Source organism: Homo sapiens, chromosome 22 (genome assembly GCF_000001405.40).
Source record: "Homo sapiens chromosome 22, GRCh38.p14 Primary Assembly".
Lineage (NCBI taxonomy): Eukaryota > Metazoa > Chordata > Mammalia > Primates > Hominidae > Homo > Homo sapiens.
In genome coordinates this window covers 31191063-31208226 of record NC_000022.11, presented here as the reverse complement: position 1 = coordinate 31208226, position 17164 = coordinate 31191063, and the positions used below count along the sequence as shown (strand labels likewise).

General features: G+C 45.3%; 1 protein-coding gene across 6 annotated transcripts in view, besides 4 other annotated features; it reads right to left on the bottom strand.

Moving 5' to 3' along the window:
• RNF185 (ring finger protein 185) overlaps positions 1208-17164 on the bottom strand; it is a 46838-nt gene continuing 30881 nt past the window's right edge. For 2 of the 6 annotated variants that reach the window (NR_024212.2, NM_152267.4), the window contains 5 exons: positions 15525-15543; positions 12646-12758; positions 11237-11291; positions 6612-6729; positions 1208-3738 (listed from right to left, as the gene is read on the bottom strand). Coding sequence is in view for 2 of the 6 variants with exons in the window: in NM_152267.4 (NP_689480.2) it covers positions 3641-3738; positions 6612-6729; positions 11237-11291; positions 12646-12758; positions 15525-15543 (403 nt within the window). In the remaining 4 variants the exon portion in view is untranslated. Of the gene's footprint in view, positions 3739-6611; positions 6730-11069; positions 11292-12645; positions 12759-15524; positions 15544-17164 lie in introns of all 6 variants that reach the window. The other 4 variants (NR_024209.2, NR_024211.2, NR_024210.2 and 1 more) reach the window with 3 other exon arrangements.
• Positions 12003-12307: an origin of replication, noted in NCBI's record as "ori2p amplicon; peak of nascent strand synthesis determined by quantitative PCR of size-fractionated nascent DNA". NCBI's record gives the evidence for it as "EXISTENCE:fractionation evidence [ECO:0000100][PMID:17668008]".
• Positions 12003-13992: a biological region, named in NCBI's record as "origin of replication in RNF185".
• Positions 12207-12378: an origin of replication, noted in NCBI's record as "amplicon 9; peak of nascent strand synthesis determined by quantitative PCR of size-fractionated nascent DNA". NCBI's record gives the evidence for it as "EXISTENCE:fractionation evidence [ECO:0000100][PMID:19815620]".
• Positions 13309-13992: an origin of replication, noted in NCBI's record as "region spanning amplicons 6-7; peak of nascent strand synthesis determined by quantitative PCR of size-fractionated nascent DNA". NCBI's record gives the evidence for it as "EXISTENCE:fractionation evidence [ECO:0000100][PMID:19815620]".

The window sequence follows — 17164 nt, the reverse complement described above, 5'->3', positions numbered from 1 at the left end:
GGAGTTCCAGGCTGCAGTAAGCTGTGATCACACCACTGCACTCTAGCCAGGGCACCCGAGTAAGACCCTGTTTCTAAAAGGGTCTGTTGCCCTGGCTGGAATGCACTAGCATGATCACAACTCACTGCAGCCTTGACCTCCCAGGCTCAGGTGATCTTCCCACCTCAGCCTCCCTCCCGGGTAGCTGGGACCACAAGCATGCACCACTGTGCCTGGCTAATATTTTTTATTTTTGTAGAGATGGAGTCTCCCTGTGTTGCCCAGGCTGGTCTCAAACTCTTGGCCTCAAGCGATCCTCCCACCTCAGCCTCACAAAGTGCTGGGGTTTGTAGGTGTAAGCCACCATGCCTGGCCTAAAATTAAAATCTTTCAAAAAAAAAAAAAAAACCTGGTCTTTTCTCATTGGGCTTATGAGCTCCTGAAGTTCCCTCACCTTTGCATTCCCCACTGTATCTTGGTACTATTCAATTTGATAACTGTTAGATCAAAATCTAAGAGGAAGAAAAAAAGCTCTTTTCAGAGGAATTACTTGTAGCTCTGGCATGTTGGGAAGGCTGAGGCTGGGCCAGATTTGTAACCTCAGCAACATCTTCCATCTCACACTACACCCTGCTACTAAGGAACCTTAGGGAGGGACACACCTTCTGCTCGAGAGAGAGGACTTGGCTGACAGCCCACCTGCCCTGTTACTAAACAGATGGAGAGACGCTGACAGTGAGTAACCTGATTGTTCTAAAGGCTCTGATAAGTGACAAGCTAAGCTCTATTGTGGCAGCTTGTCACTTACGAAGCTCAGGAATGCCATGTACTTGTCAGGACTGGGGCTGCCTGTCAGACAGGTTTTATATTGGGCAAGGCTGTGTATGAAGCCAGGCCTCCAGCCTACATTTATCATCTCTAATTATCAATAGTCGTTTAAAGACTTTCTTTCCTTTTTTTTAAGAGACAGTCTCGCTTTGTCACCCAGGCTGGAGTTCAGTGGCATGATCATAGCTCAATGCAGCCTTGAAACTCAGGGCTCAAGCAATCCTCTTGCCTCAGCCTCCAGAGTAACTAGGACTACAGGCATAAGTCATGCCCAGCTTCTTTGAAGACTTTCGTTCTCAGTGTGACATTACGGAGGATGCACAGGAGCCTCCAGGAGGGCATACCAGTGTGACTACTCCCCACCCACTCGCCCTCCACAACACAGACAAGAAGTCCAAGCTCATAGTAATGTAAAACCATTTGTTTAATTCTAAATCAAATCACTTTCACAACAGTGAAAATTAGTGACTGGTTAAGGTGTGCCACTGTACATATCATCATTTTCTGACTGGGGTCAGGACCTGGTCCTAGTCCACAAGGGTGGCAGGAGGAGGGTGGAGGCTAAGAACACAGAAAACACACAAAAGAAAGGAAAGCTGCCTTGGCAGAAGGATGAGGTGGTGAGCTTGCCGAGGGATGGTGGGAAGGGGGCTCCCTGTTGGGGCCGAGCCAGGAGTCCCAAGTCAGCTCTCCTGCCTTACTTAGCTCCTGGCAGAGGGTGAGTGGGGACCTACGAGGTTCAAAATCAAATGGCATTTGGCCAGCCTGGCTTTACTAACAGGTTCCCAGAGTGCCTCTGTTGGCTGAGCTCTCCTGGGCTCACTCCATTTCATTGAAGAGTCCAAATGATTCATTTTCCTACCCACAACTTTTCATTATTCTTCTGGAAACCCATTTCTGTTGAGTCCATCTGACTTAAGTCCTCTCTCCCTCCACTAGTTGGGGCCACTGCACTGAGGGGGGTCCCACCAATTCTCTCTAGAGAAGAGACACTCCAGAGGCCCCTGCAACTTTGCGGATTTCCAGAAGGTGATAAAAAGAGCACTCTTGAGTGGGTGCCCAGGAATGTTTAAAATCTATCAGGCACACTATAAAGCTGGTGGTTTCTTCCTACCAAGTGGATTCGGCATATGAACCACCTACTCAATACTTTATATTTTGTCTGTTTAAACACTGAACTCTGGTGTTGACAGGTACAAAGGAGAAGAGATGGGGACTGTGAAGAGGGGAGGGCTTCCCTCATCTTCCTCAAGATCTTTGTTTCCATAAACTATGCAGTCATAATTGAGAAAAAGCAATAGATGGGGCTTCCTACCATTTGTTGGTTATTGCTGGGGTTAGCCAGGAGCAGTGTGGATGGCAAAGTAGGAGAGAGGCCCAGAGGAAAGCCCATCTCCCTCCAGCTTTGGGGTCTCCAGAAAGAGGCTGGATTTCTGGGATGAAGCCTAGAAGGCAGAGCAAGAACTGTTCCACCAGGTGAACAGTCCTACCTGCTTGGTACCATAGTCCCTCAATAAGATTCAGAGGAAGAAGCTTATGAAACTGAAAATCAAATCAAGGTATTGGGAAGAATAATTTCCCCTCGATTCCACAGGAGGGAAGACCACACAATATCATTGTGCTGGGGCTCCCCAAGGCCCTGCCACCTGGCTTTACAAATCATCAGGGGTTGCCTGCTTGGCAGTCACATGCTTCCCTGGTTTTAGCACACATACAAGGAGTTTTCAGGGAACTCTATCAAGCCATACCAAAATCAGGGTCACATGTGGGTTTCCCCTTTCCTTGCCTCTTCATAAAAGACAACTTGGCTTCTGAGGATGGTGGTCTTTTGCATGCAGTTGGGCTGACCTGACAAAGCCCCCAGTTTCCTGTGGCAGGTTCTGGGAGAGGATGCATTCAAGCTTCTGCAGCCTAGGGGACAGGGCTGCTTGTTCAGTTATTACTGCCTCGGAGCTCCAAATCCCACCAAAGTCCTGACTCCAGGTCTTTCCTAATGCACAGTAGTCAGTCTCAGCTTCGGCAGTATTCTCGGCTGTATGTTCTCTGGCAGAGAGAGGCAGATGAACATAGTTTTAGGGAGAAAGCTGATGGGAAACCTGTGAGTTAAGCCACATGTCTCACCAGGAATAATTTATGCCAGGAAACCAGGAAGTCATTCAAGTTGTTCTCTGAGGCCAAAGACACTGAGCACAGCCCAGAGCCAATAAAAGATCTTTGAGTCTCTGGTGAATTCACGAAGTGACCCCAGCTTTAGCTACTGCAATTATGATTTTTATGGGACAGCAATTTCTTGCATCTCTACAGAGGAAGAAGAGGGGGAGTGGGAGGGGAAGGAAAGAGAACAGAGCGGCACTGGGATTTGAAAGGGGAACCTCTCTATCTGAGGAGCCCCCACTGGCTTCAGAAGCAACTTACCAAGGGGTATTTAAAGACATGAAAATTTCCAGAAATACCATTTGGTGCATCCCTTTGTTTCTGTAATATTAAACTCAGGTGAAATTATACTCTGACAGTTTCTCTCTTTCTGCCTCTTCCCTCTGCAGAGTCAGGACCTGCAGAACTGGCTGAAACAAGATTTCATGGTGTCACCCATGAGAGATGACTCAATGCCAAGGCCTGAAGTTATAGAGTGTTTACAGCGGTGGCGATATTCAGGGGTCATCGCCAACTGGTCTCGAGTTCCAAAGCTCTGATGAAGAAACAAGACTCCTTGATGTGTTACTGATCCCACTGATTCCAGGAGTCAAGATTAGCCAGGAAGCCAAACACCAGGAGTTGGGGTGGCACGTCACCAGTCCAGAGCCCTGCCACGGATGTAGGCAGGAGCCCAGCATTAGGCAATCAGGAGCCAGAACATGATCACCAGGGCCACAAATAGGAAGAGGCGTGACAGGAACTGCTCGTCCACATACTGGGGTGTCCCAGGGACAGCTGGAGAGACAGAAAGGAGAAAACAGGCTATTAGAACACTGCAGCTATGCACACTGCCCACTCAGGCCAGAAGTTGACAGCATCAATCTTTATCTCTTTACAACATCAGAATCCTACACACAAAAAGATTTCTTTTTTTTTTTTTTGAAATGTAGTCTCGCTCTGTTGCCCAGGCTAGAGTGCAGTGGCACGATCTCAGCTCACTGCAACCTCCGCTTCCCAGGTTCAAGCGATTCTCCTGCCTCAGCCTCCTAAGTAGCTGGGATTACAGGTGTGCGCCACCAAGCCTGGCTAATTTTTGTATTTTTAGTAGAGACGGGGTTTCACCATGTTGGTCAGGCTGGTCTCGAACTCCTGACCTTGTGATCCGCCTGCCTCAGCCTCCAAAAGTGCTGGGATTACAGGCATGAGCCACCATGCCTGGCCTTTTTTTTTTTTTTTCTTTTTGAGGTGGAGTTTTGCTCTTGTTGCCCAGGCTGGAGTGCAATGGCACGATCTCGGCTCACTGCAACCTCCACCTCCTAGGTTCAAGCGATTCTGCTGCCTCAGCCTCCTGAGTAGCTGGGATTACAGGCACGCACCACCACACCCGGCTAATTTTTTTTTTGTATTTTTAGTAGGAACAGGGTTTCACCATGTTAGCCAGGCTGGTCTCAAACTCCTGACCTCAGATGATCCGCCCACCTCAGCCTCCCAAAGCGTTGGCATTACAGGCATGAGCCATCGCGCCCAGCCAAAAAAAATTTCTAAACCCCAAATAATATCAGGCAAAATGAAACTATGTGGAACAATAACAATAAGGACAAGACACGGTCCAATTTATCATAAAAGGTTTGGCCTGCACATGCAAATAAACCAGGTGATTAACAGGAAACTCTTGCAGGAAATAATGAAAGCAAGCCTACTATTTGTTAAGTATCTTCTATCTGCTAAGTGTTTTGTACATGTTATTATTTGGTGGATATTATTATTTCCATTTTGAGTAGGAAGCAGCTGAAACATAGGTTTGAGGTGACCTGTTCAAGATTGAAAGGCTCAGAAATTAGTGGCAGAGCTCTGCAGCCTCTCCACACACTGCCTCTCAAGGGCCCCACAGGGATTGCCTTCCTTTTCCAGAAGAGAACTAGGATCCAGACAGGCAAAATGACTTGTTTTTCAAGGTAGAGGCAGAACTGGGGTGAGAACCTAAGTCTCCACTCCTCTCTGCTTTAGGAAAAGCTACCATTTAGAGCTCCCTGTCCTGACTTTGGGGGAAGGAGGATAAAAGAATCTGTGTCCAGGATGGGCAAATTGTACCAAGCATGACAAGGGAAAACTGTGACTGTGGCAGGGGGATAAAGTAATCCAGAGTCTAGCCTGGCTGTGGAACTCTGCTTAGCTGGGGAATCCAAGGTTAGCCTTCGACCAGGTTAGAAGGATGCAAGCTATCAGGCAGGTTCTTGCTGGCTTCACAGGAATTTGCCCTTTCTTCAGGGCAGAGTACACCCTATCTTTTGGGGTATACTTCCTCTGAAAAACAAATGTGAACAGAGGATAAACCTTCAAGGCAGATAAAGTAAGAAAGGGCATCCCCAGGGCCGGGCGCGGTGGCTCACGCCTGTAATCCCAGCACATTGGGAGGCCCAGGCGGGCGGATCACGAGGTCAGGAGATCGAGACCATCCTGGCTAACACAGTGAAACCCTGTCTCTACAAAAAAATACAAAAAAATTAGCCAGGCGTGGTGGCAGGCGCCTGTAGTCCCAGCTACTCGGGAGGCTGAGGCAGGAGAATGGCGTAAACCTGGGAGGTGGAACTTGCAGTGAGCCGAGATTGTGCCACTGCACTCCAGCCTGGGGGACAGAGCGAGACTCCATCTCAAAAAAAAAAAAAAAAAAAAAAAGGCATTCCCAAGATATCTTGGTGCTGAGATTCCTCAGCTAGATGCTCTGATGGATTCACGAAGACAGACAGGCAGGCAGGCAGGCAGTCAAGAAAGACTTATAGATCACCTGCTGTGTACCAAGGACCAGGGTGGGGATGAGAATAACTGGGATGACCCAGTTACCATCTTTAGGGCATAAGCTCTTGGCGTGAACCACACAATGGTCACTTCTGTACCATATGCTGTGTCCAGTGCACATGAAGCTCCAACAAGTGCAGGCAGAGCTCAACCGATCATGGCATCTCTGCAGGCTCCACAGTAAGGATCTTGGCTTGGGTGTCAGACTGTGATAAGAGTTCAAGGCACCCACCTCATAGAGGTGGCTTGCACCTATAGAGCAAGGGCTCTATACCGAATGCGGATGGCACTTTCAAGCAGTAGGAGGGAGAACTGCAGCAGCAGTTGGTAGACCTAGGCATGGTTCCCACAGGGCTGAGGCTGCTTCTGACCAGCCTCATGTTGTGTCCTGAAGGAAGCTAGACAGAGATGCCAGAGAATGGAGATGCCTTCACTCCTTATGGGTCATCTCACATTTCCAGGCCCCCAAATGGTCAAAGTGGGAAGTAAATGTGCAGAACTAGGCTTTTCCTCAGCTGAGTATCACTTACAGTTTTCCATTTTATAGACATGGGGTATGTCTTGGTAACATTACTGAGCATTTTCTGATCTGTTAAACGCAGCTAATCACACACCTGTTCCATAGGGTGGTTGTGATGATCCCCTGAGCTTGGAATGGAAAGTGCTATATATATGCATGCCTAATAGTTGGTAAGTGCTCAGCATTGTTACCATGTCTGTAAGTGATCTAAAAACAGCTTAAGATATTTTGAAAAGGCTGATTATCCATGTAGTGACAATTATCTGTAACTTATATACTGCTGAATTCCAAGGAGCTTTCAAGCAATATTACTAAGATATCTTCCTAATTTCTCAAGGAAATAGGGTCTTACCTGGAGGAGGCCGCCCATCATTTATATTAAATGCTGTGGCAAATATCCCAAAGGGAAATGCCCCAATTCCAAAAGACATCTGGAAGCCACCATCTCCAAATCCAAATCCTTGAAATCCCTGTGTGGAAGAAAGGCAATTAAGGGCAGGAGAATCAGGCAGGTTTCTCCTGTGCCTGTCAAAACTCAACATACCTCACGTTGTCTTGCATGTGGCACCTGCCTCTTCTCCCTACCTTGTGCCACATGTTTCGAAGGTGGGGGACAGCTTTTCCTCCCATATATACCCTGAAGTAGAGGAACTCTGGCAAGCCCTCTGCCCTTTTAGCCTTAGCTTCCAGCTAAGAATCTATGAATGGGCCAAAAAGGACTGGCTCTGACCCAGTGTGAAACACTCTGCTGACATAAGTCAGCACTCACAGGGCTTGAGGATATTTTCCATAGTCCCACATTAGCTAGTAACACCTTCTACATGCTTTATAGGAGCAATATTGACAGCCACCCCTGTGCCCAAGGGAACATCAAACAAGCTACACATTATCTTTAATAGCAAAAATGTTGAAACTCTAATTAGCCAACAATGGAAGTCATGATCAAAATCTTGATACATGCATTCAAAGAACCATTACCCTGACTTAAGCGGTAACACTGAACAACTCTTGTGACCAAGTTATCAGACAAAATTGTTTGAACACTGTGGTCACAACTACATGACAATATGTAGGTATATGGACAAGTTACGGATTAAAATTTCTTTTAATACTGTTACATAGAATTTTTACATTTTAAAACACTATAATGTTTTCTGGTTATAAAAGTAATATATACTTGCTATAAGAAACTCACATATTACAGAAATAATTGACAGAGTCAGAGATCTTCTATTCACCTTCCCACTTCGCAGCCACTCCACTTTACCTCTGAAATAACCACTATCAGCAGTTTGGTATATCACCCTCAGTTTTCTTTCCATGTGCATGTTCTACACTGCATCATCTTTCACATGAAAAGATTCAGCAGGAACAATACTGTGAATAAATAACTCCCTTTTTTAAAGCGTGAGCTCTGTGCTAGGCACCATGTTAAGCACTAGGACATATAAATCATGTTTAATTTTTACATTGGCTTCATCTGCATTTCACAGATGACCAAACTGAGGCTTGGAGAGGTGAAATAACTTGACCAAGGAGTACAGTTTAGATCTAAAACTAGGTCAATTTGATCTGAAAACACATGCTTTTCTTTTTCTTTTCTTTTTTTTTGAGACAGGGTCTCGCTCTGTCACCAAGCCTGGAGTGCAATGGTGCAATCATGGCTCACTGTAGACTCAACCTCCCAGGCTCAAGCAATGCTCCCATCTCAGCCTCTTGAGTAGCTGGGACCACAGGTGTACCCCTCCATGCTTTGCTAATTTTTAAATTTTTTGTACAGATAGGGTCTCACTTTGTTGCTCAGGCTGGTCTCAAACTCCTGGGCTCAAGTGATCCTCCCACCTCAGCCTCCCAAAGTGCTGGGATTAGAGGCCAGAGCCACTGTGCCCGGCCTTCATGCTCTTAATTACTGTGCGCATCTTTCAAATATTTTTTTCTCTTCCCCTGCACCCCTGATGAGAGGTTTAGAACAAATGATTTTAAAAATAATAAAAAGCAGACAGACTATTGGGTCAAATGCTCTTCACAAAGAGCTCAATGGCCTTCATTTATGAGTTTTTTGCAAGTCACAAAAATAGCTGCTCTCCATCACACACTGATCAGCCTGGCATCTAGTTCCAAACTTCTTGCCAGATGGCATCACCTATAAAGCCTAACAGCTGACTTAATGAGAGGGCAAACCTAAAGGGAGGGAAAACAAAGAGTTTCCATCTCCTCAATACAAAATGCCTCCTACTCAGTTCATGGTTGAATCTAATGGCTCCTGGGACTGAGGCTGCCTTACTTGGGAAGGTGCAATTGTTTCATCAGGAACCACAGATTCATTCAGTGCAATCCTGAGGACTAACCGTTCTGCTTCCCTTCTAGCAACATCTTTATGATCTCACCAGTCCATACATTTGGTGGGATTATGTTCCTGGGCCAGAGTATGCAAAAAAACATCGCTAGTAGCTGCAGGTGCTTATAAATGCTAGAGGTATGCACTTTGGTCAACAAGGCCAGGGCCTCTGGCTTCTGGGGGCCTCTGATTCCTGCATTAGTTGCTAATGCTCTGTAGGAAACCAAAACCTAGGAATGTTAAAGTGGTGTCACCTGGTGGTCAAGAGCAGAGACTTCAATACCAGCCAGATCTGGGTTTCAGCACTGTACGTGTGGCCCTGGACAGATCACTTTACCTATCTGGGCCTCAGTTTCCTCCTCCGTTAAATGAGTTGATGTGAGGCTTAAATGAGATCATGCATATAAAGCTCTTAACATATAGTTATTTCCATATAGTAACCATTCAACAAGTGTTCACTGCTAGTATTATTATTAAGGGTAATCCGGAGAAGAGAACCTTAATTTCTTTCTTTCTTTTTTTTTTTTTTTGAGACAGAGTCTTGCTCTGTCGCCAAGGCTGGAGTGCAGTGGTGTGATCTCAGCTCACTGCAACCTCTGCCTCCCGAGTTCAAGTGATTCTCCTGTTTCAGCCTCCCGAGTAGCTGGGACTACAGGCACATGCCACCACACCCGGCTAATTTTTATGTTTTTAAGAAAGCAGAGACAGGGTTTCACCATATTGGTCAGGCTGGTCTCGAATTCCTGACCTCAGGTGATCCACCCGCCTCAGCCTCCCAAAGTGCTGAGATTACAGGTGTGAGCCACCACGCCCAGCCGAGAACCTTAATTTCTTTCAAGATCCCTGACTCAATAATCCTACTCCTGGAAATCCTAATAAAATGCCATTATTCAAACTCAAAAAAAAAAAAAAAAAAAAAAAAAAAGAAAGTGGCAGTGCGCGGTGGCTCACGCCTGTAATCCCAGCACTTTGGGAGGCCAAGGAGGGCGGATCATCTGAGCTTGGGAGTTCGAGACCAGCCTGACCAACATGGAGAAACCTCGTCTCTACTAAAAATACAAAAATTAGCTGGGCATGGTGGCCCATGCCTATAATCCCAGCTACTCTGGAGGCTGAGGCAGAAGAATTGTTTAAACCCGGGAGGCAGAGGCTGTGGTGAGCCGAGATCGCACTACTACACTCCAGTTGGGCAACAAGAGTGAAACTTCATCTCAAAAAAAAAAAAAAAAAAAAAAGTGTGCAAAGATGGTTATTGTAGCATTATTTAAACAGCAAAATGGGGAAACAACTAAAAGGTCCTTCGATGAGGAAAACCCAAATTACAATGAACCAAAACTCAATGGGTTCCCAGCAATAGCATGGAAAAATAAAAAATAATAAAAAACTCAATAGGATAAATGGCAGCCTAAATAATAAAGAGGACACTTCAGAGCATCATGGAAAACCTGCCAAAATTAAATTTTAAAGCAAACAGAATGGTGATGGCTACATAAAAATACATATGCACAGCCTACAGATGAAGAGAACATGAGGATATGAGAATATACTTGTTCTGGGCTCTTGGCAATGGTGGGTAAATATTTTGCTTTTAAAATTTCTTTAACATTTTAACAGAATTTTTTTAAGAGTAACATTTGATGTAAATATGCAAAAAATGTAAATGTTTTTGTTCCTAGCCACTAGACCACTAGAGACAAATGTGCAATTTTTTTTTAGCCAGTAATCTTACTTCTAAGAATTTATCCTAAGCCAGGTACAGTGGTTCACGCCTGTAATCCTAACACTTTGGGAGGCTGAGGTGGGAGGATTGCTTGAGCCCAGGAGTTAGAGACCAGCCTGGGCAACATAGTGAGACCTTGTTTCTACCCAAACAAAACAAAACAAAAAAAAGAAAGACAAAAAAAAACTCAAAAAACTAGCTGGGCATGGTGCCGTGCACCTGTGGTCCCAGCTACATGGGAGGCTGAGGTAGACTGAGCCCAGGAGGTCGAGGCTACAGTGAACTGTGATCACACCACTGCACTCCAGCCTGGGCTACAGAGTGAGACCCTGTCTTATCCTAATAAAATAATAATGAACATGCTCACAAATTTATCTGTAAGTTCATCAGGATTTTTTTTAACTTGGAAAAAGAAAGCCGCTAATGTCTAACAAAGGATTGAATTATGTTAAATCCACACAACTAAATGCTAAACAGCTAGTTAGTAAAATATTGCTGGCAATGTAAAATCTCAAGATAATACTAAAAGACTCCCACTCACACAAAGAAGGTACTAAGTATCTGTAGAACAAATGAAATTTTAAGAGAGGGTTACAAAACAGGAGCCACATATTGTAAAAAACAAAAAACAAAAACTGTAAAAAGTATACACACATCTGTAAAATACACGCACAGATTTGTAAAATTTGTGTGTATATATAATTATAGAAAAATGGAAAAGAAAATAGAACCAAAATGTTTCCAGTGGTTACCTCTGGATTGGTGTGGTTATAAGTGATTTTTTTCCCCCTCTTTTCCTTTCTGTATTTTACAAGTTTTCCTTTACTTTTATAATCAAGGAGAAAAATTGTAAGGCTAAGAAGGAAACTTCTAAAGCCATCAGCTCATTTGTAGAAGCTTCTCCTAGAATGTTCCTCACCCCTCTATTCTCCGGCTCTGGCCTCTGTCCTTGAGGACGAGGAGGGGTCTTCTCTCTGAAACAGAAATGGTGTAAAATAAGTCTATTACAAATTGCTTTGAGTTGCTCCCTGTGAGGACCTGGAGCTCTTTACCAACAGGGTCAGGGCCATAGCCTCTTTCTTGTCCAGGACATGAACTTATGCCAGATTAATTCTCCAAATACGAACTCTTCATTCTACCTGCAACTGTTCTTCCCACGTGTATAGAGAACCAGGGAGAAAATCAACTCGTTATGAGATATTCACCAGATTGCACTACAGCCTACTCCTCTTACAGAGATCCTGACTCAGATCGGTTAGGAATCATGGCCAGATGCCTTCCCTGGGCCTGTTACAGATAACAGAAATCCCAAATCCATACTGGAACAGAGGGTGGGTTGTCAGCAGTAAGGGCTGAGGTTCATGGTTTCTCTGACCTTCCCCTATTAACTTCAGCTCTATCTCCTACTATTCTTGGGCAAATACCCAATGCTATTATTTTTGAGTCTCACCCCCTCAAATCACTCAACCCATGAATACTCAATTGAGGGCTTAGTTATACAATAAGCATTATGCAGGATGCTGTAATACTGATGACAGACCCAACCCTTGAAGTGTTCATGGTTTCAAGGGGGATAAAGCCAGTCATATGACACTGTGGTGGGAACTGGGTGAGAGCAACTAATGTGAAGAAGACAGACCACTTCAAGGAAGAGGGAACTTTAGGGCTGCTCATAAGAGATGAGTAGAAGTTAGAGGAGCAGGTGGGGGTAGAGGGGTAGCTTGAGCAGGACTGGGGAGGGAAGAAGGCAGAAGAGAGAGCAAATACACAGGCTGATAAATGTGAAAGAGCAAGTCCCTTTAAGAGAAAGTCTAATATGTCGGGTACACAGCATATGCTAGGGTAGCTGGATAAAGGTAAGAGATTCTTCTGGAGAGCTTGGGGATGCCAGACCATGAAGGGCTCTCAATACTTGTGTTTGTTGAATGCTGGACCCATGCACATCTCCATTTCTAGAAATCCCAAACTCCACAAAGTCACCCAGATCCTGTTTCCCCTCCCGCCATGCTTTATACATCACTGATGCAGCAACCCTGCTCCCTGGAGCCTCTCCTGCTACATATCCTGCTTCCCAGGTTGCAGAAATGCTCTTTCACAGGGCTCTGCACACTTGTGATTGTGATGTCTGTTCACTGCTGGGTCCTAGCAAGTGGCAACTTGGATCCCCTCTCTTCCCTCCCCTCCTAGCTGACTCTCATCTGGATGAGACTGCTTCGAAACCAAGAGATCATCTAGTACTAAGTAAAGGGTGGGGTTAGGGGATGCTGAATGGGAGTGAATTCACATCCAAGGGGAGAAGTGGTTGGGAGAGGCATCCTGAGTCCTCACCTGGGGTCCTGTTGCCCAGTGCTGCCCCTTCCATAGAGGGGGATGACCTTGTCTCGGCTGATGCCAGCTTTGCAAACAGGACACACCTGTCTGTTAGGTCTGGTCTCCAACCACTGCAAACAGGAGAGAAAAATGCATGTGGATGGCCCAAGACCCACCAGAGTGATCAGCCAGAGCCACCAGAACAACACAGGCCAGAGGCCTCAAACTGGGAAACACCAGCATGAGCAGGGAACATCTCAAGGAACCTGACTCCCATTCCTTCTCCTACCATTCAGCAAATACCTACCAGTGGTAAAATCAAAATTGCCTTTAAATATCATCATAATTGGCCGGGTGCGGTGCTCATGCCTGTAATCCCAGCGCTTTGGGAGGCGGAGGTGGGTGGATCACCTGAGGTCAGGAGTTCAAGAGAAGCCTGGCCAACAAGGTGAAACCCCGTCTCTACTAAAAATACAAAAATTAGCCAGACATGGTGGCGCATGCCTGTAGTTCCAGCTACTCGGGAGGCTGAGGGAGGAGAATCGCTTGAACCCGGGAGGCGGAGGTTGCAGTGAGCCGAGATTGCACCACTGCATTCCAGCCTGGGCAACAGAGCAAGACTCTGTCTCAAAAAAAAGAAAAAAAATCATCACAATTAGGCTTCTTCATGCTTTGTTTCTCTCTAGGGCCTCCTAGCAACACAGGGGGAGGGAAACTGCAAGTCTGGGGCTGTCAAGTCTGACATGCCCAGCCTCAATTTAGGCTGCTGGTGTAAGTACAGCAAACTTTAAATCCCCACCTTCCCAGTAGGAGCAACTGTATTTTCCTGTCAGTCATATTCTTCTTTCTGTGATTTCTCATTTTTTTTTCCCCAGACAGAGTCTTGCTCTGTCACCCAGGCTGGAGTGTAGTGGCATGATCTCAGGTCACTGCAACCCCTGCCTCCTGGGTTCAAGCAATTCTCCTGTCTCAGCCTTCCAAGTAGCTGGGATTACAGGCGCCCACCACTGCGCCCAGCTAATTTTTGTATTTTTAGTAGAGACAGGGTTTCACCATGTTGGCCAGGCTGGTCTCAAACTCCTGACCTCGTGATCTTCCTCCCTTGGTCTGCCAAAGTGCTGGGATCACAGGCATGAGCCACCGCGCCCGGCCAATTTCTCATTTTTATAGCATTTTCCCAACAACTGTGTATCCCAGGCATCAGAATCAGGAGATAAGCTGATCATTTTCTGGTGACTTACCACATGCTAAAGGATAGGTTTTGCTCATTATCTAAATTTGCTTAATGCTTTTTGTGTACTTTCATTGATTTTTTGCATTCACCTATTTCTTTCAATATAAAAAAAATCCCGTTTTGGGTTTCTCAGGCCCTTTCACTGGTTACATTAAAATTTTTTGTTTAGGCCAGGCGCGGTGGCTCACGCTTGTAATCCCAGCACTTTGGGAAGCTGAGGCGGGTGGATCACCTGAGGTCAGCAGTTCAAGACCAGCGTGGGGAACATGGTGAAACTCCGTTGTCTCTACTAAAAAGACAAAAAAACTAGCCGGGTGTGGTGGTGTGCACCTGTAATCCCAGCTACCCAGGAGGCTGAGGCACAAGAATCGCTTGAACCCGGGAGGCGGAGGTTCCAGTGAGCCGAGATCTCACCATTGCACTCTAGCCTGGGCGACAGAATGAGACTGTCTCAAAAAAAAAAAAAAATTAATTTTCTTAAAAAAACAAGTGATAAAAAATGTTTTTGGTTTGTTTTTGTTTGTTTTTTGCTTGTTTTTGATTTTTTTTTCGGTTTTTTGGTTTTTTTTCTCGAAACAGAGTCTCACTATGTCACCCAGGCTGGAGTGCAGTGGTGCAATCTCAGCTCACTGCAACCTCTGCCTCCCAGATTCAAGCGATTCTCGTGCCTCAGCCTCCCTAGTAGCTCGGACTATAGGCGTGCACCACCACGCCCAGCTAATTTTTATATTTTTTGTAGAGACGGGGTTTTGCCATATTGGCCAGGCTGTTCTCAAACTCCTTGCCTCAAGTGATCCACCTGCCTTGGCCTCCCTACGTGCTGGAATTATAGGTGTGAGCCACCACACCCGGCCAAAATGTGTTTTTATAGACATTCTATAAACATGAATCTAGGACTTCAGGGCTGAGGAGATGGCAGCACTGAATGATTTTATTTACTACTCTTACTGTTCATAGCTCCAAAACTTAATGTGTTATGTGTTCTTCATAAACTCATAGTCAATATGTACTACCAGGTCCCGCTGGGGACAGAATGTGCAGCCCTGTTCCCACCTTCTTTCTCCCATCCAGATTCTGAAGCTTTAGCAGTCTGGAACTTCTGTCCTCCCCCACATTCCCAGGCCACCTACGAGTGTGGTACTCTACTGCTGACGACCAGGGAGACTTTCAGCAGGCTGTGATTATTCACAGCCACTTGTGAATGCCAGGCCCAGCTCTGTCTCACCAAGTAGGTGCTAAAGCTAGGAAAATAGACTTTTCTCTCCTCACAAAAGCTCTTTGTTGACACCAAAAAAATTTTCCCCTTCCTAATATTTTCATAACCTTTAAGGGCTGGGGGACTGTTGATATGATAGGAGGCACTGTTTTAATAGAAGCAGAATCTCAAAAATAAAAAGGACCTAACTAACATACTATCAATCCAATCCAATTTATAAATGAGTAACTGAGATCCAAAAAGGCCCTCTGTGGCAGAATTAGGACCATCCCGATTTCATCAAGTGTCTGTCAGTGGACAGGTATGTAAAGAAGGCTGTGGGGGTAAGTAAGCAAATGAGCCCACAAGCAGGGCAGATTGCAGCTTCTGAAAGCAGTCTCCTGAGACTAGGGCTCTCTTGTGCAACCAGAGCTGATGAAAGACAAAGTAAAATGAAATGCATCTTACCTGATGTAAACACGGCCAACTGCCAGAGTCCCCAGGGCAACCAGTCATCAAGGAGAAGGAGAAAAGGGGAAAGGAAGAAAAATGTTTTCATTAGCAGAAACACTTGATGGGTGGAGTGGTAGTAGCAGAATGAGAAAACAGGAGTAAACTATGGAGCACTGCATGCCCATTGAGGTTCTGTAGGGATTACTGGTATCGGAAATTAAAAAAAAACTGGGGTAAAAATCACAGAAAATAAATAACGCAATGGAGATAAGACCCCAGCCTCTGCCCCTGAGATCTCAGTATATGTGAAATCCCCAGGGCTCAGACCACACAGACCCAGCTTCTCTACAAATCACCCTGTGAGAGGTTACAACATCTGAAGGAATCCAATAAAAGCTAAGGACACCCTGTGCAAAAAATTGATGGGGGCATTCACATACACATGTACTACACACTATTTTACACTCAATTTCAGTGGGTTCATAGTCTCCTCGGGCTCACAAGGGATGTGTGGACTCTCAGGTAGTCCAGATCCAGTTTAACAAAATCTTCAGGCTGTCCTCATCCTTGAGAACTCTCCTAGCAGGAAGCAGCTTAAAAGTTCAGGTCTACTCTAAAAGCATCTTTAAGTAATAGAAAGGATGGGGATGCTACTTGACAGAAAGGGTTACCTTCAGCTTAGAGAGCTGCTGTCCAATCTCTCTCCATTTTCAAATGAGGAAACCAAAGCTCAGAAACATAAAATGAACTGCATCAGGATTAAAAAAAAAAGTCTCCTGACTTCTAGTTCATTGCCCTTTCTATAATCTAACACCACATACAAAAAAAAAATGATATCTACAGAATTGAAAGAAAAGTATTCAACTCCACTTTTTTTTTTTTTTTTTTTTGAGACGAAGTTTTGTTCTTGTTGCCCAAGCTGGAGTGCAGCTCACTCAGCTCACTGCAACCTCCACCTCCCAGGTTCAAGCGATTCTCCTGTCTCAGCCTCCTGAGTAGCTGGGATTATAGGTGTGTGCCACCACGCCCAGCTAATTTTTTGTATTTTTAGCAGAAACGGGGTTTCACCGTGTTAGTCAGGCTGGTCTCAAACTCCTGACCTCAGGTGATCCGCCCACCTTGGCCTCCCAAAGTGCTGGGATTAAAGGTGTGAGCCACCGTGTCTGGCCCACATTTTTAATTTCTTTCTCTCGTTTATTTAGTTAACACATATCTACTGTGTACCTACTATGTAGGCCAGGACAGTGGAAAATGCAGGCATGGCTTCTGTACCTCACATACCAAGTATCTTTAGCTGAGTACACTTTGAACTCAAAGGATAGTTCCTTTTCCAATTCCTGAACCACAGTTTAGCTTCACAAACCAAATACACAATCTTCCTGGCCATAACATCTGACTCCAACATTAATCTTGCAATGTCATTCTAAACTGAGTGGAGAATAACCCCAAATCATGGCAGATCTCCACTGGCAAGTTCCCTTAAAGACTCTAGGGGAGAAGTGGAGGTGAATGAATGACCCTCAGGGGAAAGTCAGGCTTTATAACAACGACCATTCCTCCCATTTATTAAGCAACGATAGTCATGTATCACTGAACGACAGGGATAATTCTGAGAAATGTGTCATTAGGCAATTTCATCATTGTGAGCATCACAG